Genomic DNA, 22239 nt, shown 5'->3' on the forward strand with positions numbered 1-22239 from the left:
GCACATAAGATGCTTCTAGGGATGGTGGTAACATGAAATTTCTTCTCCTGATTAATAGTTATATAGCTGTATACATTACAATCACTATTATAATATACATATATCATTTATTTTATATACACACATAAACATGATAAAGGGGAAAAAAAGTACTTATGGTTTAGGGCTATCTGAAAGCGGTAAATGAAACAGCTCATGGGCACTTTGCAATCCCTCTGCTTACAAGCACTATTCTCTGGCCCTGTAGATGGCTAATAACTCATACTTCCTCCCTTATTTGACACCTTTTTATGTTGCCTGCATGAGATATAGTTCCAGGGCAAAGGGAAGAGAAGCCGCCTCCTCTCACTACTAGTGGATGCACTATTTGGCTTATCTTCTAAGCTCATCTTCAGCACATAAAAAAGAATATCCCTCATTCTGGTGGTCTGGCATTCTGGTTCAGCCCAGGCCTGTGAAATGTTGCTCCCATAAGCATCTTCATGAAGAGTCTCAACCCAGTCTCACAACAAATATGTAACTAACATTAAGTAATGTGTAATAGTGCTTTGTAAAGAGTAAGTCACTAAACCAATACTCACTATTATATTCCTACAAATATAACTTATGGTAGGATATTACAAAATACACATCAGCTTTCAGAAAATACAGGATTCTGATGTTGAGAAAAATTTTTTAAAAATATACTTACCTAAGGTATGGTTTCTTTTACTTTGTAGTCTTTGGTCAAAATCCATAATACTAGTAAATGTAATTAATGATATAACAGAGGTCATCAGACTTTCTCCATTAATTAAACTGATGAGGCTTCTAGAAAGCCCTACATATGTTGAGGGGGAAAGATGTTTTTTAAAGTGAGAAAAACATTAAAAATTAAATGTTAAAGAATACAATTTTCTTAGCAACTATAAGGATGGTCTTAGCTATGGATTTACTGTAAGTTAAGTTTAGACAATCATAATTGGCACTAAATTAATTATGGCCCATTATGTTTATGTAAGTGAGATAATCAAAGTTCTCATTCCTTGCTTCAAAGCACAGAGGAAAACATGAAATTTATTATTATTTTTAATTCAGTGAGTTGTTCTATATAAATACATGCATGATAAATCAGATATATTTAAGGCAAGACAGAAAATGATGATTGAGGAATAAAGTAAATTTACAAACCAAAGCTTTATAACATGACATCCAAATAAAGTATTAAGGCAGTTATTCACATAATCTAGCTAGGCTTAGAAATTATCTGACTTTCTCATTCATTCTTCCCAATGGTTTTAGAAATCAATCTCCATGAATGGAGAGTTCCTGATACTACTCACTTCCATCCAAATTTTCCTCTATTTATGATGGCATTCTAAGTTTAAATGTCTGTTGTCCTTTTCCTCTGCCATTAAATGTGCATGTAGTGGTAAGACTACAACTTTGACCATCTATAGTGATTTTCTAAAAGCCATAGGAGGAAATGTTATTATGCAGTGAAAGTCCTTTCTGTGAATCAACCACTCTATAACTGCAATCACAACCTAACTACAATCAGTATGCTGATAGAAGAGAAGAAACACCAAGGCTGTTCCTGTGTGGCTCAATTGCCTTGGCCATTCCATACTTCACATCTGCCTGTATCTATGCCCTTCGCTGTAAGACTTGGCAGTGTTTCTCACCAAAAAGATCTAGTTTGTTTTTTTATGAGACTCGATGAGAGCAGAAAATTTCTGCCTCCTCCCTGACTCCTGCCACCGCCATGGCAGCATTCCTCTGTAGGAATATAAGAGATACAAGAAGGAAACGTAGATCTTCCCAAATGAGGCCATCCTGGATCACTTAGCCCCCTCAGTGTCCACCAGCTGATTACAGATTCCTTAGTGAACCTAGCAAGATCAGTAGAACCCAGCCCATATCATCAGAACTGCTGGATTCATGAGAAATAATAAATAATTGTTGTTTAAGCCACCACATTTGGAGTTGTTTATTACTCAGCAAAACCTAACTGATATTATTGTATAATTATCCCATTTTAGAAAATGGAAGTATGGAAAAATGTAAATATTCAGAAATACGTAGTAGATGTAAGGGCATAGGAGGAGTCAAAGGACATGAAAAGCTCAAGCCAATGTGGATGTACTTATGTATTCTGACAGTCCTGGGCAAATTTTTCAAGTATATATATATATGAAAAAATATATATATATGCATATACACACGTACACACACATACACATATATACATATATCTAAATCTTATAAATCTTGCTTTGTCAACTCAGGAACAATGCTGCCAAGAAGAAATTACTTTTAAAAATTTCTTCTGGAAAGATACAGGGAGGAGAGAAACAAAATTCTGAAAGTAATGGCAAGATGGACAAAATTTATGAAAATAACCTTGCAAGGTACTCTTCGTAAATTAAGTTCAATAGCAGCAGGATAGAAAATCAGTGGAATACTAGATTACAAAATAACAAAGTTAGACAAGAGTGAAATCAGCTCTCAGGTATCATAAGAGTCTCTCAAATATAGCGGAGAAAAGGGCTGGCACTGACAGTCACAAGGAGGCAGGGATGTGTGCTGAGAGTATGGGGAGGAAGACAAGAATCCAGGGTTGGATGGTGGATGTTGGCATCTTCTTCTAAAGTGTTATCTCACTCTCTTAATGTCCTTTGTCTTGAAGGCTCAGCTCTCATTTATTCATATATTTACACTTGATGTGTCTCCCCTACTCTATATTTCTACCTGCCTCAGATAGCTATTTCCCCTTTAATTGGCTAGAAAGTGAAATTAAAATTGAAAAGAGTATGCGTGTGTGTGTGCAAATGTGTGCATGGGTTGCCATATTAATATTCTATTTTAAAGCAATTTTTCTAGTTCTCATTATTAAAAAGTGATGAAAGGGGACAATAAAGTTATTGTTTTTCTTGCATGAGGCTTTTTATTTTTGTTTTTCTGGGCTAAATTGAGTTGGTATTTTACTTTTAAATATAGATAGATTTTTCTTAAGATACTATACACTCAAAACACTGTGTGATTGTTGAGTTTACCATTTTTTGACTTTTTAGGCTTTCAGTCTTGATGATGACAATGACTCCAAAAGCAAAATATTTTTAAAATGGCGTTGTCCTAATGATTCTTTACAAAGGAAAAGAAATATTGGGCAACAGAAATGTCACCACAGTGTATATGCAATATTGTAACGTCCCAGAACTGTTCTGTTGGCTCAAGGTAGAAGTATGTATAAAGTCAAGGGTTCTAAACTAATCCCCTCCCCTATTCCACAATTGCGTATAATACTTTTTTTGACACTAAGTAAGCCCATCACTGGCATTTCTTCTGCCCTAAGCATGACCTCCAGAATCTCTGCTTAATCCTCAACCCCCAATCCCTCACTACCTGACTTCTCACAGTGAAAAGCTACCAAAAGCAAAAGATCTTAAAATACAAGTTCATTATGAAATATGATATTATAAATATAGAAAAAGAGAACAATATACCTACCAAGGTCTCTTATAGCAGCTGCGGTTAGCATGGGATCTGAACTCACAAGGATAGCTGAAAATAATAACCATTGGGTAGGCTTCAAAAGTAATTGATTTACAGATGCCAGATGCCAAAGAACTAAGATATAATTAACCAAAAAGCCGGGAATTGAAATTAAAAGTATCTGCAAAGAAATTTTACAATTAGAAAAATCAGACTGCTTTTGTAGTCCATTTTAAGAAGAAAATAATCAGGATTATTGGAGATACAGAATCAACCAACACCAACAGTACCCACCAGCAGACACAGGAGTGGGGCCATCTAGCTCACGCTGCTTCAGCTGACTTCCACTTGACCAAAGATGCAGGACCCCTTTTTTGTCTGTTCTTTTTTATTTCATCTTTTTGTCATTTGTCTGAACTCCATGTGTCTGGATTTGGCTTAAAAGTATAAATTATTCTAACAAATTATTTGCTTCTAATGCAGTTTAGGTAATGGCCTGTATTTACAAAACTGTTTTGATTACTTTGAAAGAAACGTACACCCTACTTATGATTTGGAGTGTTTTTTCTTGAGGTCTTTCCCTGATACCGTTCAAATCTCACATATTAAAAAACTTATGGTTTTTGAATTAAAGTTTAGCTGCTTGTGTTTTCTTCTCTGCTTTTATTCTCTTAGATATGAATGTAGGAAGCTCTAAAACATAGGTATTTAAAACATGACTTTTCTTAGCAATTTCCTTTTACTGGAGCTAATACACTTTCTCATAGCACTCTTGTAGCATTTCCGAGTTAAAATTATATCTGGTATGAAGTTATGCAAGTCAGATTTTCAGAATTACTGTTTTCTTTCTAATTTTTCCCCTGGGTCTTTGATATGCTAGGCAATTGCCAAGATATGGCTTATTCACTAAATGATGAAGCTGAATTTATTACTCCCATACCCTTTTCTTTCTTCTTTGTTCCCTATTTTGGAAAAAAATATTTTAAAAATTTGAACATAGATAATATGTGGTTCATGAATGAATGATATTACCAAAAAAGAATGCTTACCTGCCAAAATAACTTTTGAAGCATGTACGTATCCATGTCAAATGCAGTAGTAAAGAAAACTACTGGTGTAAATATACGAAAAAATAAGTCTGGACTCATCCATTGTATGGCGTTTGCGTATCTTTGGACCTAATATTATACAAATATATCATCTTCTCATTTATTCATCACTATTAGAATAGAATACATGCTAGGTGCTCCTAAATCTAACAGTAGAGAAAGACAATTTTTAAAAGATATATCACACAAAGGAGTAAGTGATCGTATCAAATTCTAGAAACTACAAATAATTGGCCATGGCTTATGTAGAAGATATGTGTGGAAGAATAGAACGGATAGAGACTGGAAAGTTAATGTAATTCATGCAATAACTAATAAACAATGTTTAACATGAGATATTTAGTGGAAATGTGTAACTCCTATTCTAGGTATCCATTCAATATTCACTTACTAGGGAAACACTGAGTACCTACTGTGTTAGGTAATATCTTTGCATTTGGGAGATAATTCTCCATGTGTCTCTTGTGTTTCTCCACGGTTTATGCATACAGGCATTGGTTGTTTTTCTTCCAGACTATCTTTTCATGAATGTTGGTATGGCTTAGAAGCAGAGCAAGTGTTGTCCTCCAGAGCAAATGACAGGTTTACTTTACTGTCCAGTGTAATAAAGATAGTATCTCCCTCAGAGACATTTATTACATTTAAAGAACAGATATAGGAAGTACATTGACATGGGTACTAAAGAATATGCAGCAGATTTTCAGGCAATCAAGACGAAGAAAGAAGTTTCAGGTAGGTGGATAATCATGCACAAAATTCACAAAGGAGTAAGTGATTGTACCAAATTCTAAAAACTACAAATAATTGGCTATGGCTTATATAGAAGATGTGTGTGGAAGAATAGGCAAGAGAGCAGATGAGCTTACTACCCATTATAGAAGATTCGGGTTCTCTAAGCTTACATTTCTTCTCCTGTGGCCAGATATATAACCCAATGTAGGTGCAGATTTCACCTGGCCTTCTTTGCTTCTTTGGGATTATGGTTCAGGAAACAGGCACAAGAAAATGTTAACTCTGGTTATTGCTATTGCTGTGGATAATAAAACCCTTTTTCTCTGGTCCAGGAGTCCCATCTCTTTTGCTGGGATCATGAAACTGGCAGGCTAGCTTATTAGCTGGCAAGTAGAGAAAAATCTTAGCCCCTTCATGGGTCTTAACATTGGTCTCTTCCTTTGCAGGAGTTGCTGACAAATAGTAAAGCTTATAGAAGTACTTCAAATTGCATCTGTGTCAAAATCATATGATTACAAAACCTGTTTATGACATGTAAAGGAGTAAACTGCTTCTGGTTCTTACATGAATACATGTTTTGTATAATATTTTTAACATCATTGACTGAATTTGTTTGGGAAAGTCAATCATTTCAGACAAGTTCTCCCATCCATTCTGATTGACTAGGGCAGATATTGGCAAATTATGGCCCCTTGGCCAAATCTGCACACTTAAGAGACTAGTTTCTCATCTAACAGAAACCCTTTAAAACAGTCTTCATTGAGGAAATAGATTAGTTCAATATTATAATATTTTTGCTACTCAAGTCCTGTACCAGCAGTACAAAGTCTCCCTGAGCTCCTATGTCATTAGCCATTTTTTTCCCAAGCTTTTAAAATCTGTTTAACATTCCTTGGCCACTAATACTTTTATGTATGTACTCAGTAGCTGTATGTACTCAGTAGCTGTATGTACTCAGCTTTTGCAGATCTCAGCTAGATCTCAGCTTTTGCAGGCCTGGCTCCTTTTTCTACATACCTGACGTGATGCTAGCCACATCACAATCATCTATCAACTGGCAGAACAGTGAGGGGATGAATAACTTTTGCAAATTTTAAATGCCATCTCTGCATTTATATAATTCTCAAATAAATAGTGTAAAATACTCATTTACAATACACACCTGTGAAGATGTAAAGCTTAATACTTCAAAACTGCATCCAAGTAAAAATAATATCACAGGGACAGGAATTGGAAAGTCTTCCAAGTGCCGGTTCAAAAATGCTGCAAAAAATATGTTGTTACTGAAAGGCAATGAGATATCTCATTTATAGAACTTTAATGTGACATGATTTCTTAAAATTGTGAACAATGTCTTACAGTTTCACTACTTTTCATGAGTTTAAAATCCTCCCTCACACTTATCAGCACACAGAATCAGTGTAACTGTTAATCTACCGGGTTACTGTTTTACCTCTCCTATGATGTATCTCATTCTCATCTCCTTAGAAACTTAACAAACATTACTAGCAATTATTGGCTCTTGGGTTACTATTGAAATATTTATAGTAGTTTTGTACACATTATAAATCAGAGATTAGTTTCTTTAGCAATCCTGCAATAAAAGATTAGTAAGTAAACTTTAATGAAATCTGGTTCAGGAACAATGAGAAACTAGACCAACTTAAAAAACTAGTTGTGGAATAGTGGGTTTTGCTGCAACTGGTTCATTTTCCTCCTGTTTTCACTAATTCTGGCACAATCCGACACCATCGCCCTTCTTGTAAGGCTGAGCCTGAGAATGCAAAGCAGAGAGGCAGGACCAAAATCGAGGTGAATCTGGGAACCTGATAATGGGTCTCCGGGTGCAGTCTCTGAAACTGGAGGATATTGGGAGAAAAGGCTCTCCGATGTGGAGATAATGGGGAAGCTCTTGGCATGGTTGGCTGCAGGTATGTGATCCTGGAGGAGCGGGAGTCAAATAGGATACACCGATTTTTAATTCAAGGAACACATTTCTGAAACACTTTGCCACAGTGAAGGAAATAAGGAATTGTACTCTCAGAGATTTTGGGAAAAGATGCATGGGTCTTAGAAGATAATTACTCAAAATATGCAGGGAAGGAATAAAAGTGAAGGGTGTTTTTCTTACAGAACATAATTTGTCATATTTATTTGATCAAGACGTTGAAGATTTATATCATAAGGATCTAGTCTGAAGCATTAAGAAGAATAAGACATCGGTTTGAAAAGAGTAATATGAATTTTGCTAAAATTGAAGCAAGAACAAACATCAAATTTATGTTGACACTTGGGTGGAAGAATGGTGACTTAATTGATGCTTTATGAAAAGTTTATATATGTTTGGAGACAATGCTCCAAAGAGAACAGTTTATAAATGAATAATTAGTTTTAAGAAGGGATATGTAATGTTGAAGAAGAAGCCCACAGTGGCGGATCATCCACATCAGATTGTGAGAAAAAAACTAATCTAGTTCATGGCCTAATTGAAGAAAACCAACAATTAACAGCAGAAATGACAACCAACACCATAGACACACCTTACACAATTCTGACCGGAAAAGTTCAACAAACTTTACACCTGAGAGGTACAAAAACCATTGCACCCAGATCAGCTACAGACAAGAGCAGAGCTTTCAATGGCCATTTTAATAAATGGGCTCATGATCTTGAAGCATTTCACTGAAAACTTGTAACAGGAGATGAAACCTGTCTTTACCAGTGCGATCCTGAAGACAAAGCACAATTAAAGCAATGGTTACCAAGATACAGAAATAGTTTAGTCAAACTACAAGTGGACTGGTTGAGAACAAAGGTAATGGCAACAGCTTTTGGATGCTCAAGGCATTTTGCTTGTTGACTTTCTGTAGTGCCAAAGAATGGCAACATCTGCTTATTATGAGAGTGTTTTGAAAAACTCAGCCAAAGCTTTAGCAGAAAAATGCCGGAGAAAGCTTCACCAGAGAGTTCTTCACCACAGCAATGCTCCTGTTCGTCCCTCTCATTAAACAAGGGCAATTTTGTGAGAGTTTTGATGGAAATCACTAGGCATTCACCCTATAGTCCCAGTTTGGCACCTTCTCACTTTTTTGTCCTAATCCTAATAATTTGTTAAGGGCAGTACATTGTTCTTCAGTTAATAATGAAAAAAAAAAACTGCATTGATGTGGTTAAATTTCCAGAACTCTCAGTTCTTTCGGATGGACTAAATAGCTGGTATCATCCCTTAGAAAAGTGTCTTGAACTCGGTCAAGCTAATGTTTAGAAATATAGTTTATACTTTTATCTTTTAATTCCATTTTTCCACAAATTTTTGAAGTCTCCTTGAATATTCACCCTTTATAGAGGGGAAAAATTATTGTGACTATTCATGTTAACTTAAATTAATGCTGACTTAATTTTCTATTTTGTAAATATACACAAACATAAAAATTGATACAAATTTTGTTTATAGCCCTTAACAAACAAATTTGTGAAATAAATGCATTCAGAAACAAACTAAAACAACATTAATGGAATGGATGCTACTGTTTTACCGAGGAGTAAACATGGTACTGGCTGCTATGGAAAAAGTTACAGTCATGTGCCTTGTGATGATCGTTTTGTCTACAACTTTACTCTTTGCAGACCTCAAGACTATTGAAATGAGGGGAGGGGATCTGAATTCCCAAAAGAATGTCGACTGGGCATGGAGGCTCATGCCTGTGATCCTTGCACTTTGGGTGGCCAAAGCAGAAGGATCCCTTGAGGCCAGGAGTTCCAGACTAGTCCTGGCAACAAAATGAAATCCTGTCTCTACAAAAAATAAAATAATTAATGAGGCATGGTTGTGTGTGCCTGTGGTCCTAGCTGCTTGGGAGGCTGAGGTGGGAGGATCACTTGCACCCGAGGTTTTGAAGCTGCAGTGAGCTGTGATTATTGCCACTACAATGGGTGACAGAGCAAAACCCTATCTCTAAAAAAAAAAAAAAAAAAGAATGTCTTTGTTCTATGCAAATCCTAATTTGAAGAATTCTGCATTAAATTCTTTCCAAACATTTTTCTAACTCCAGTAAGCAGTTCAGTTTTTATTTGATTCAGGATTAGGCTTTGACAGTAGTTAACTAAATTGGATTAAAAGTTTTGTGAACTCATAGGCAGTTTTGCTTTTTTTAGATACAGGCAGTCCTTGCTTTGCACAGTTCCAATATGCATAAATATTGGTTACCACAGTTAAGTTAAATAAAACCAGTCCAACAATGTGGTTAATATTTCCATGACCACAGTATTGAGAAAACTTGCATAAATTTTGCTGCCAGCTCTTTAGTCCACAAATCACTGTGCAAAAAAAAAAAAAAAAAGATGGGCATCATGATCGGTCGCCTATTACATTACTTCTTTCAAAGTTTGTTGGTGATTCGTTACTGATCATCTGTTCAGTTCATGCACAGATAGCAAAGCACAAAGTGCATAGTAGTGTTGCCTCCGCGACCCCAAGGATTAAACTCGTGACCATTTACAAAAATGGATAATCAAAAGAGGTAACTGGTTAGCAAGGGACAGGGCAGCAAAGAAAAGTGATAATGCTGGAAGTGAAATTGGATGTGATTAGATTTGAAAGTGGTGACAGCAAAGCAAAGATAGGTTGAGACCCAGACCTGCATGAAATTGTAATACAAACCTATTTTAAAAGTCTGATAAATGTAAAAAGGTAAAGTTGCTTCAACATCTTTCAGTTTTAGTTGCACTGGGAACAGAGAGCTGCTTGTGGTTGAAATGGAGCATTTACTTGTTTGGATTGAAGACTAATCAAAAACAAATCCCAATCAGTTTGACTAGCATTCAGGCCAAAGTGATAACTTTAGTTACTGCATTGAAAGAAAATGGTAATGACAAGAAGACTGAAAGAGAATATATTATTACCAGTAAAAGCTGGGTTCATCATTTCAGAAGTCGGCATGAATTGATGTTAAGCTATCTCATGAAGCTGCAAGCTTCAGATAGAATGTTACAGAAGATAAAGCTGACTATGGGAATGTTAACGCTGCTGCTGTTCAAGAGGCAGTTCTAGATATGTAGCCAGGGGAATTTAGCAAAGTCAAATGTATAGACATAAATTAAGAAAGTGGTTGTTATGTAAAGAACAACCATGTCTCAGGAAGTGATGCCAGCAAAAAACTTCACATTAAAGGAGCTCTCAGATACTTCATTACATTGAAAATGCAAAGGATAAACTTTTGGAAGCTGACCCAAAGTTAAGAAGGAGTGAGACAATTTGCCAAGGCATAGAAAAGATGAACACTAGTAAGTTATATGGTAAGACAAGCATTATTCAAACTATTCTTTATAAAATTATAAAGAAATGTTTTAGTGTTTCAATGTTTCTAATATTTTAAATTACTAAAATATTTTAAATTACTAAAAGTTTTATTAAGTATACTAAATAAATATTAGTTTTACATTATTAGAAAAAAATACAATTTTTCTTTTTTTTTTTTTTTTTTTGAGACAGAGTCTTGCTCTGTCACCCAGGCTGGAATGCAGTGGCATGATCTCGGCTCACTGCAAGCTCCGCCTCCTGGGTTCATGCCATTCTCCAGCCTCAGCCTTCTGAGTAGCTGGGACTACAGGTGCCTGCCACCATGCCTGGCTAATTTTTTGTATTTTTAGTAGAAACAGTGTTTCACCATGTTAGCCAGGATGGTCTTGATCTCCTGAAAAATATTTATAGCCAACAACAGGAGAGGTTTTTGTTTTGAGAAGGTGTGATGCTATGTCACCAAGGCTGGAGAGCAGAGGTATGATCTCGGCTCACTGCAACCTTCGCCTCCCAGGCTCGAGCGATCCTCCCACCTCAGTCCCCCAAGTAGCTGGGACCATAGGTGTGCACCACCACTCCAGGCTAATTTTTTTGTGTTTTTAGTAGAGACGGGACTTTGCCATGTTACCCAGGCCAGTCCTGAGCTCCTGAGCTCAAGCAATCTGCCCACCTTGGCCTCCCACAGTGCTGGGAGTATAGGCATCAGGCACCGTGCCCAGCCAGGAGAGTTTTTAATCTAGCAAATTTAAAAGTCACAGAACAATCATAAATTTTTGCATAGATTAAGATTACACTGCATAATTTCAGCTTGCATGCTCAAAGCCAGGACTCCTTGCGTGGAAAACAAGCAAGGGAGTCCGCATATTTAACCAGATGTAAATATGCACATCAAGTCTACAAACAGCTATATTTTTCCTTATGGTATTCAGTTATAATTTAACATTTACTTTTTATTTTTTTTCTTTGAGATAGGATCTAGCTCTGTCACCCAGGCTGGAGTGCAGTGGCATGATCTTGGCTCATTGCAATATCCACCTCCTGGCTCAAGCAGTCCTCCTACCTCAGCCTCCTGAGTAGGCGGGACTACTGGTGCGTGCTAACATGTGCAGCCAATTTTTGGTTGTTGTTGAGACGAGGTTTTGCTGTGTTCATGGGCCTGGTCTTGAACTGCTGGACTCAAGTGATCTGCCCATCTCAGCCTCCCAAAGTGTTAGTATTACAGGTGTGAGCCACTGGACCTGGCCTAACAGTTAGTTTTCATATTGCTTTTATGTGTTGCTATATCAAAAGCTTTGAAATAAAATTTTTATAATACTGTGAAAAAAATTACTTATTACACATTAAAAAGCCCATAACAAATATTTAACTTTGTGTATTATTGTTTTAAAAGTGCAATAAGTAATATCATAACATTTGCTTCCATTTCATTTTTTTCTGCTTCTTTGTAATACAGTCCCTAATCAGGTCAAAGATAGTGCAAAAAGTGTTTTCTTTTTGTTTATACCATGTTCTTTTCTTCTCAAAATAGCAGGCATAATTTATAATTTGGACAAAACCTATGGGACACCCTGCCCCAACCCTTGATTTTCTGCCTGTTTTCTTCAATTATCTCCTTCATTGAAATCTGACCCTGACATAGCAAGTAAGAAGGTATGAATGAACACTTTGAACCCAATAGGATGAATGTTATGAAAATCAGATTCTACACGTCTCTCCATAGGAGCAAATTATTATTGGATTCATTTGATTGAAAATATTGAGCTAAAGGTATAAGTTTGAGAACAAAATTATATCCTATTACTTCTACTTTCCTTAATTCTATATGGTAGCATTTATAAGATGTACCGGAAGAATAAACTCAGATAAAGAGAGAGTGATACTTACCTCCAATGGAGCTGATCAAAGACAATGTTAGAATGACTTCAGGGAGGTCCTCAGTACTGAAAAAAAACTCCTTAAATATTCCAGCCATGTTTCAGAAAAATTTTTATGCAGATTTATGTTAGAAGCAATCTCCATATGATCATCCATCTTGTTGTTTTTCACAGTCCATCTGAATCTAAGAAACATAAGATTTGCCTTCTTGGTGGCCTTCTAATAATTTTCTAAAAAAGAAAAAAAGCCCTATTCTCCTTTAATTATTTCTAGTGATTTCTCGTGGTCTGCCAAATTTAGGGATGCCTCTCCCTTCTATGATGCTTTCAAGTTAATGTAATAAAAAAGTCAGAACCCCAAGTGATAGAGACTACCAGTGTTACCTTATGTTTACTTACAATGCCAAGCACTACGCACTTGTTACCCACTCTGAATCCATCCAACTGTCTGAAAGAAGGATTCTCCATCTAACTATTCACACTCACCAATGTGGTCATTGGAACCACAAGCTGGTGCAGGTTACTTAGCTCTGTGGAAGGACAACAAAGGGTTTTGTCCTCAGATTATCTAAGCCTCTGCAAGCATGTTCTGACAGCTATTCCAAAGTAGGAGGAAAAGCAGGGAAGAATATTTGGATCTCTTTTGTTGTTTTATCCAGACAGAAATTAATAAATCATGATGATATCCAATCACAGCCTTCTTTGATCTCATTTGGGACACTGACAGACCAGGTGTTCTCTAAATTTATATGTGTATATAGCAACCAAGAATGTAAGAAAAATATTAAAACCAAAAAACTTTCTTAAATCAGGGAAATTGTTACATGTTCTATTTCTTTGTTACTTCTTGGAAGAGGAACAAGAGGGGCCTTGATAAGAGTTTGAAACAATAGACAGTTAACCACAGTCAGGCAATCTCGCCTGCTTCCCATGGAAAGGAAAGTTTTACATCAAAGGTCTTACATTTCACACAGGATATTATGATTCTATCTCTCATAATGGTAGCTTGACATTTTTTAGTGCCTTCTATCAGCATCTCATATGGCTGCCTTACTAAGAAATTATAATTCCTGGCCGGGCACGGTGGCTCACGCCTGTAATCCCAATACTTTGGGAGGCCGAGGCGGGTGGGTCACGAGGTCAGGAGATTGAGACCATCCTGGTATGGTGAAACCCGGTCTCTACTAAAAATACAAAAAATTAGCCGGGCATGGTGGCGGGCGCCTGTAGTCCTAGCTACTCGGGAGGCTGAGGCAGGAAAATGGCGTGAACCGGGGAGGCGGAGCTTGCAGTGAGCCGAGATCGTGCCACTGCACTCCAGCTTGGGCCACAGAGCAAGACTCCGTCTCAAAAAAAAAAAAAAAAAAAAAAGGAAAAGGAAAAGAAATTACAATTCCTCTCATAACCTGGCAAATTTTTTTTTCAGTTTCATACACACACGCACACACACACATCATATATACATATGATATATATATGTTTTCTTATGTCTTCCTTTTTATTATAAAACAATATTTTGAAGGGGAAAATAAATACATGTTTATTGTGAACACTTCTTGAAATAAATATGTAAACAAGTATTTCAAAAGCAGAAGAGAAATGACCCAAAATCATATCATCTAGTGGCTCTTACAGGTTTTATTTGCATTGTTGGGCTCATCCTTTTACGATTAAATTTTGTGCTGTTTTCCTCTTATTATTGTATCACCAGCATCAAAAGCCTTATAGATAACATTCACAAAGCTTGTAACATATTACCACCAAGGTAAAAGTGCATACTCTGGCTGGCATACTGGCCCATGCCTATAATCCCAACATTTTGGGAGGCCAAGATGGGAGGATCCCTTGAGGCCAGGAATTCAAGACCAGGCTGGGCAACATAGCAAGCCTCCATTGCTACAAAAAATAAAAAACTTACCTCAGTGTGGTGCTCGCCTATGGTCCTAGCTACTCAGGAGGCTGAGGGGGTGGTGGGACATTGTTTTGAGCCCAGGCATTCAAGGCTGCAGTGAACTATGATCGTGACACTGCATTCCAACCGGGGTGACAGAGTGATACCTTGTCTCTAAAACAAATTTCAGAATCTGCGGTCAGACTACTTGCATTCGTAGGTCTGATGGGCTTCTGCTTGTAGGTTGAAAGACTCAGGGTAGCTTACTTTAACACCACTGGCCTCAGTTTTCAAATCTGTATAATTTTCTAGTCTGTGTAATTTCTCTCCCTTTATTTATTATTTTTTGGAATTACCTAAGGAGCTATAATGATACTTGGTGCCTACGTCCTATCTCCAGAGATTCTGATTTAATTCAGTCTGGTTTGCAGCCTGGGCTCTTCAGGTAATTTTAATTTAACCCAGCCAAGGTTAGCAACCACTGTGATCCGCTCAATTCAGACAACATTGCTCAATTTTTAGTCTCAAAGCCAGCTTCTTTTCAATATTCTTGGTGAGGTTTTGTGAGAAAGGCTGTCAATGCCCTTCAGCCAAATGTTACCAGAAATACATCTGTAGTTAACAAGTTTTGTTTGTTATTTATTTGTTGCGGTGAAGGAGATGACTCACCATGGGAAACCATGGGGTATATCAGCAAAAGAGTGTTAGAAATAACCTATTAGAGGATCTGCGCTTTGTCTGGGTAATTTTGGAAAAGGTCTATGGAAGTGAGGGTTCACTTTAGGTAAGGTGCTGTCAGAAAGTGAGGACAATTCCGTGATTGAGTATTCAATAAAACTTTACTATAAGGAGGGTAGACTAGAGCTAAGATACAGCTGTGATGGGCACAGAAGCAGCAGTCACTCATTTTAGCTGAGACTGAGGGTGTTTGGTGTTGTATAGGTTGCACAACAACCTTTGTGTCTCATTTTGCTAAGGTTTGAAGTGACTTTGTCTGATGTTGATGTTCTGTGGGATCATTTATGTCAAAGAGGAGAACAACATTGGCGCAGCTGTGAGCCTAAGGCCAGCCTGGAGCAACATACTGAGTCCTATCTCTGAGTATTAGATCACTTCCTGGATTTGGGGGTTGTTTTGGGTTTTGTGTTTGGTTCTTTTCCTCAAAGGATTTCTAAATTTTTTAATGTTACCTAAACATATCAAGAACTGTAGGTAGACCTGAAGATCTCGAATGTAATATAAGTGACAGAGAAGAGTGAGCTCAGCTATGTCTCTTAACAGACATTCTCAACCTTGGCCACACATGGAATCACGTGGCAAGTTTTAGAAAATACTGATGCCTTGGTGCCCACCCTCCAAGGTTAATTTAATTCTTCTGGGGTGCAGCTTGAGTACTGGGAACTCTAAAAGCTTTCCAGTGATTCTAATGAGCAACTGGTGTTTAGAAACACTGCTCCAGGGGAAGCCCCTGCCATTAGGAAAGAACATTTTGGTCAATTAGTAATATTTGCTCTTAACATCAAACTATTGAGAAAAATATTGTCAATGTCACCTCTTAACTTGCCCACTCTTATGCCAAGACTAAGCATCCTCGAGTATACAGGCTAGACGAAATAAGGAAAATTATTTTCTGTACCACAGTTACACATTCCTACATGCTTTCTGAATTTAATATAGTTAAGAAGTCTATTGTTTTCCAAACTAAGAATACATGTTCCCATGAGCATTTTTATCATTTCTAAAATTATTTAAAAATTGTAATAAGTGTTTACACATTCAATTATAATAAATTTTTTTTTCAGAAAATAATAAAATTGTGCTGTGGTCTGAGAGAGTGGTTATTGTGATTTCAGTTCTTTTGCATTTGCTGACAAGTGTTCTTTGTTTGACCGTATGGTTGATTTTAGAGTATGTGTCACGTGGCAATGAGAAGAATGTATACTCTTTTGTTTTTGGGTGAAGAGGTCTGTAGAAGTCTACAGGTTCATTTGAGCCTGCTGAGTTTAGGTCCTGAATATGTTTGTTAATTTTCTGCCTTGATGATCTGTCTAAAACTGTCAGTGGGATGTTGAAGTCTCCCACTATTATTATGTGGGAGTGTCAGTCTCTTTGAAAGTCTCTAAGAACTTGCTTTATGAATCTGGGTGCTCCTGTGTTGAGTGGATATATATTTAGTTAGGTATTGTTAAATTGAACCCTTTACCATTATGTTATTACCTTCTTTTCCTTCTTTTTTTTTTTTTTTGATCTTTGTTGGCTTAAAGTCTGTTTTGTCTGAAATCAGGATTGCAACCCTTGCTTTTTTCTGTTTTACATTGGCTTGGTAGTTTTTCTCCATCCATTTCTTTCGATCTTGCATGTGAGATGGGTGTCTTGAAGACAGCATACCATAGGGTCTGGGTTCTTTATTCATCCTGACACTCTGTGCCTTTTAATTGGGGCAGTTAGCCCATTTACTTTCGAGGTTAGTATTGATACATGTGGATTTGATCTTGTCAGCATGATGTTAGCTGGTGATTATGCAGACTTGACTGTGTGCTTGCTTTACAGTGTCACTGGTCTGTGTACTTAAGTGTGTTTTTGTAGTGGCTGGTAATGGCAACATCATTCTTGACATAGGAGTGGGCTAAGGTTTCACGACAAAGACATCAAAAGCAATCACAACAAAAGCAAAAATTAACAAATGGGATCTAATTAAACTAAAGAGCTACTGCACGCAAAAGAAACTATCAACAAAGTAAACAGATAACCTACAGAATGGGAGAAAATTTTTGCAAACTATGCTTCTGACAAAGGTCTAATATCCAGCATCTATAAGGAACTTAAAATAATCTACAAGAAAAAACAACCAGCCCCATTAAAAAGTAGGCAAAGGACAAGACACTTCTAAAAAGAAGACATACATGCTGCCAACAAGCATATGAAAAAAAAAGCTTAACATCACTGATCATTAGAGAAATGCAAATCAAAACCACAAGGAAGGTACCATTTCACACCAGTCAAAATGGCTCCTATTAAAAAGTCAAAAAATAACAGATGCTGACAAGGTTGTGGAGAAAAAGGAATGCTTATACACTGTTGGTGGGAATGTAAATTAGTTCAACCACTGTGGAAAACAGTGTGGTGATTCCTCAAAGACCTAAAAACAGATCTAACATTTGACCCAGCAATCCCATTACGGGGTATAAACACAAAGAAATGTAAACTGTTCTATCATAAAGACATATGCATGCGTACATTCATTGCAGTACTGTTCACAAAAGCAAAGTCATAGAATCAACCCAAATGCCCATCAATGGTAGACTAGATAAACTAAATGTGGCACATATACACCATGAAATACTATGCAGCCATAAAAAAGAATGAGATCATGTCCTTTGTAGGAACATGGATGGAGCTGGAAGCCACTATTCTTAGCAAACTAATGCAGGAACAGAAAACCAAATACTGCATGTTCTCACTTATAAGTGGAAGCTAAATATTCAGAACACGTGGACACATAGAGGGGAATACACTGGGGCCTACTTGAGGGTAGATGGTGGGAGGAGAGAGAGGATCAGGAAAAATAACTAATGGGTGCCAGGCTTAATAGCTGGGTGATTAAATAATTTGTACAACAAATCTCCATGACATGAATTTACCCATATAACAAACCTGCACATGTATCCCAGAACATGAAAGTTAAATTATAATCACATTAATAATAATAAAATTACCACGAATCCTGTTTACTCTTAAATTCAGAGATATATATGATCAAATTCAACACAATTTATCTCTCTGGCTATGCATATGTGATAAATACCATTTGGCTTCCCCAACCTCTACTCCAAAATCTCATAAGAAATCTCTATTTGAGAATAGATGTCATCTTAAAATAGTTTTAAAAATACTAACATTACTGTAGCTTAATATGTTAAATGTATGGGTAAGGAAATAGCTATGAGAATAAACAGGTTTTCTTTTTTTTGTTTTTTGAGACGGAGTCATGATCTGTCGCCCAGGCTGGAGTGCAGTGGTGCGATCTCGGCTCACTGCAAGCTCTGCCTCCCGGGTTCACACCATTCTCCTGCCTCAGCCTCCCGAGTAGCTGGGACTACAGGCGCCAGCCACCACGCCCGGCTAATTTTTTGTATTTTTAGTAGAGACGGGGTTTCACTGTGTTAGCCAGGATGGTCTCGATCTCCTGACCTTGTGATCTGCCCGCCTCGGCCTCCCAAAGTGCTGGGATTACAGGCGTGAGCCACCACGCCCGGCCACAGGTTTTCAATATAATTAGAACTCTTCATCTTAAGCTGACTTTTGACAGCTTTGTAAAAGTCTGTGAGTCCAAATCCCATTAAAGAAAAAAATATTGGTTTATCACATAGGTCCTCTGCATTAATTTAACAATAAGTTAGTTGACTGAGCACAGTGGCTCACGCCTGTAATCCCAGCACTTTGGGAGGCCTAGGCGGGTGGATCACTTGAGATCAGGAGTTCGAGACTAGCCTGGCCAAAATAGTGAAACTGTCTCTACTAAAAATACAAAAAAAAAAAAAAAAAAATTAGCCAGGTGTGGTGGCACATGCCTGTAATCCCAACTACTTGGGAGGCTGAGACAGGAGAATCAATTGAAGAGGCAGAGATTGCAGTGAGCCTAGATTGTGCCACTGCACTCCAGCTTGGGTGACAGAGTGAGACTCTATTTCAAATATATATATATATATATATCTCTCATGTTAGCTAATATCTCAATTCTCTTTGTGTGTGGAGGAAATTAATGACTGCCCTCTCAAAAATGACATGAATTTGTCCTTGTCAGTCAGCCAGCATTGAGAAATTTTGTCTCATGAACCGTAAGTCACACTAATTTACCATGTTACTGAACATGGAAACAGTCTTCTTCCTTCAGATTGGAACGTTTTGCAAGAATTAGGTGAAGAAAGCATCCTGAAGAGGGCACTGTGGGATCTCAGTAATCTTCACAGCTACAAAGCTCATGCTTAATGGTTTATTTTATATTGATACCAGAGGCTGGATTGTCTCCTTAGTAAACTCTCCTACCACACAACGCAGACATCTTACTGACTCTGAAGGTGGGTGGGCTATTGCCCTCCTAATGCCCCTCCACTCAGAATGAGCCCTTCCTCCAGCTCAAGATCAGCTCCACACACCTGAGGCGATTCCCTGAACCAGTGAGCTTTCCCCTAGGGCTGGACTTTTCAGTTTCAGTAACGCAAAGGGAACACATGCCACTGGATAGTTCACAAAGAGTTGATGTAAAAAGCATAATGGAGGAGGGGAAGCAGCTAAGGGGTAGAAGTTCAAACCGAGAAGCTAGCTGATCTTTGGGAAAGTGTTCCATGGTCTGCCACAAGAAAGGCAGAAGCGCCAAGAGGGAGTGGCTGAATCTCTAGCAGGAAAACAGTGGGAGCCTTTGTTCATCTAGGAGGCGAGACTGAGAGAGAAAGTACCAGTAGGAAAGGTCAACTTCCAGAAAAGGAAACTAGAGACTGGAGAGCTCACCATCCGGAGCCTCAGGAGGAGTATCCCGTGGTGTGCAAGTGAGAAGTGGGGGGCAGCTATTTCGCTCACAGCCAAACAGCCCAGACCAACTGCAACCTCACTGACAGTTACTTGCTCCAAACTCGCCCCTAGTCTGCACCGGTTAGCTTCAGGCCCATCATCTCTTACTTGATTGGCTGATGAAATGCAACGTCATTGCTCCTGTATATCTCAGGCATTTGACGGCTTAAGGCTTTGTTTTATTTTTTAAAAATAAACAAATAAGGGGTGAAAATGAACCTACAGAAATTGCGCCATTGTGTTAATTTAAGACTTTGGGACAGTGGATTTCTGACAAAGAGCTGTTGGACACTGCTTTCCCAGAATTCTAGTAAAAGGAAGTTTCCTGGATAAGATAGTGTGGTAGAGATATGAGGACGCAGGTTGCTGGGTTAGGGAAAAAGTGAATGGATATTGTGGGCATGTAAGAGAATGAAATCAAGATGACAAGGTGAACTTTCACTCTGGGTTATATGTGAGGAAATTTTCAGGAATAATGATATACTCATTTGTTTTTTCTAAACATAATATGTAAAAAATATTTTAATTGAAATTACTTAGTTATTACTATAGAGCCAACTTTTCACATTCCTACTCTCATAAAATATCTTAAAGTTATTTAAAATTGTATTTAATGTTTTGTTCTCTGTGTTTCATCTCTTTCTCCCGACCCACACGTTTATAAGTGAATGGTGGTAAAATTCCCAACTCTTCATTTGGCCTCCTCTGATACTACCCTGATGAAGAAGGCAGGAGGCAACTTGTTTGGCTGGGTTGGAGCAGAAGTCCAGGCTCCCTACATGGTCTCCAACTGAGGCATGGGGTGCATCTTTATGGCCTGGTTGTTATGGAAGTTCCAGCTCCCACAAGGCCTTTTCTGATACTGCTCTGGTTGGGGTGGGGAAACAGGCAGGGTTCTGGCATCTTGTATGGTATGGGTGAAGTTTAAGCTTCCTACTCAGTCTTTGCTGGTATGTGGGTACAGGGAGTGGGTGAACACTTTTCTGTGGTGTTTGGTTAAAGTAGAGCAGTTACTGGTGAAATTTTCTGTCTTGCTGGGCTGCCCCTTTTCTTGGGTCTTTAAAAAATCTATTCTCGGCCAGGTGCAGTGGCTCATGCCTGTAATCCCAGCACTTTGGGAGGCCGAGGCAGGTGGATCACCTGAGGTCAGGAGTTCGAGACCAGCCTGACCAACAAGGTGAAACCCCGTCTCTACTAAAAATACAAAAATTAGCCGGGCATGGTGGCAGGCGCCTATAGTCCTAGCTCCGGGAGGCTAAGAAAGGAGAATCACTTGAACCCGGGAGATGGAGGTTGCAGTGAGCCGAGATTGCGCCACTGCACTCCAGCCTGGGAGACAGGGTGAGACACCGTTTCAAAAAAAAAAAAAAAGGATTCTCATTGTTGGAAATACATGCCACATATCTGTGTGTGGGTTGTGGTTCATGTGTGGATATATATTTAAAAATTAATTAAGTTGCAAAGCTAATATTTGCCACATTATGTATTTGTTTATATACATATGTCTTGCTAAGTTTATATATATATATATATATATATATATATAAATAAAACAGGAAATGTAAATGTTGTCTAATATTTCTCTTTAGCAATATACTCTAATGACCACACACTGGACATCCTTGTAATCCAGAATCATTCACCTTTTTTTTCCAAGAGATGGGATCTCACTCTGTCACTCAGGCTGGAAGGTAGTGGTATGACCATAGCTCCCTGCTACCTTAAACTTCTGGGCTCAAGCAGTCCTCACACCTGAACCTCCCAAGTATTTGGGTGAATACTTCTACAGGCATGTCACCACACCTAATTTTTTAATTCTTTTTGTAGAGATGGAGTCTTGCTATGTTGCCCAGGCTGGTCTCAAACTCCTGGCCTCAAGCCATCCTCTCCTCAGCCTCCCAAAGTCCTGGGATTATAGGCATAAGCCACCTCCCATGGTATCAGTGGAGACCATGCAGGGAGCAGTAATAGGACACCCTTCTCTTTCCCATCCAGGGGGCTATCATCAGAGACCTAGTGAAGAGCCTGAAGCCCCACTCCTACCTAAGCAGTAAGAAGACACCCCTTCTTCGGCTGTGTGTCAATGAAGACTGAGTAGAGAACTTGAGCTTTTATTCCAACTTGCCTACAAGAGGTGACCCCACTTCTCCTGCCAGAACAGTGTCAGAGGATGCCTGGTAAAACCCAGGATTTAAATAAGATCCAGTATCTTATAATATCTGCAATGTCCAAATAGAAATTGAAAATCGCTCATCATACCAAGAACCAAGGTGATCCCAACTTGAATGAGAA

General features: G+C 38.1%; 1 protein-coding gene across 13 annotated transcripts in view; it reads right to left on the reverse strand.

Moving 5' to 3' along the window:
• SLC9C1 (solute carrier family 9 member C1) overlaps window positions 1-20011 on the reverse strand; it is a 153319-nt gene extending 133308 nt beyond the window's left edge. For 11 of the 13 annotated variants that reach the window (XM_011512718.2, NM_001320531.2, XM_017006247.2 and 8 more), the window contains exons 1-6: window positions 19888-20011; window positions 12499-12673; window positions 6478-6578; window positions 4524-4652; window positions 3490-3655; window positions 692-820 (exon numbers count right to left, since the gene is read on the reverse strand). In XM_011512718.2, the coding sequence (XP_011511020.1) occupies window positions 692-820; window positions 3490-3655; window positions 4524-4652; window positions 6478-6578; window positions 12499-12586 (613 nt within the window). In that variant the 5' untranslated portion in view covers window positions 12587-12673; window positions 19888-20011. Of the gene's footprint in view, window positions 1-691; window positions 821-3485; window positions 3656-4523; window positions 4653-6477; window positions 6579-12498; window positions 12674-19887 lie in introns of those variants that run through there. The other 2 variants (NR_135297.2, XM_017006246.2) reach the window with 2 other exon arrangements.
• Window positions 20012-22239: the final 2228 nt, after the last annotated feature.

Source organism: Homo sapiens, chromosome 3 (assembly GCF_000001405.40).
Source record: "Homo sapiens chromosome 3, GRCh38.p14 Primary Assembly".
NCBI classification, from domain to species: Eukaryota; Metazoa; Chordata; class Mammalia; order Primates; family Hominidae; genus Homo; species Homo sapiens.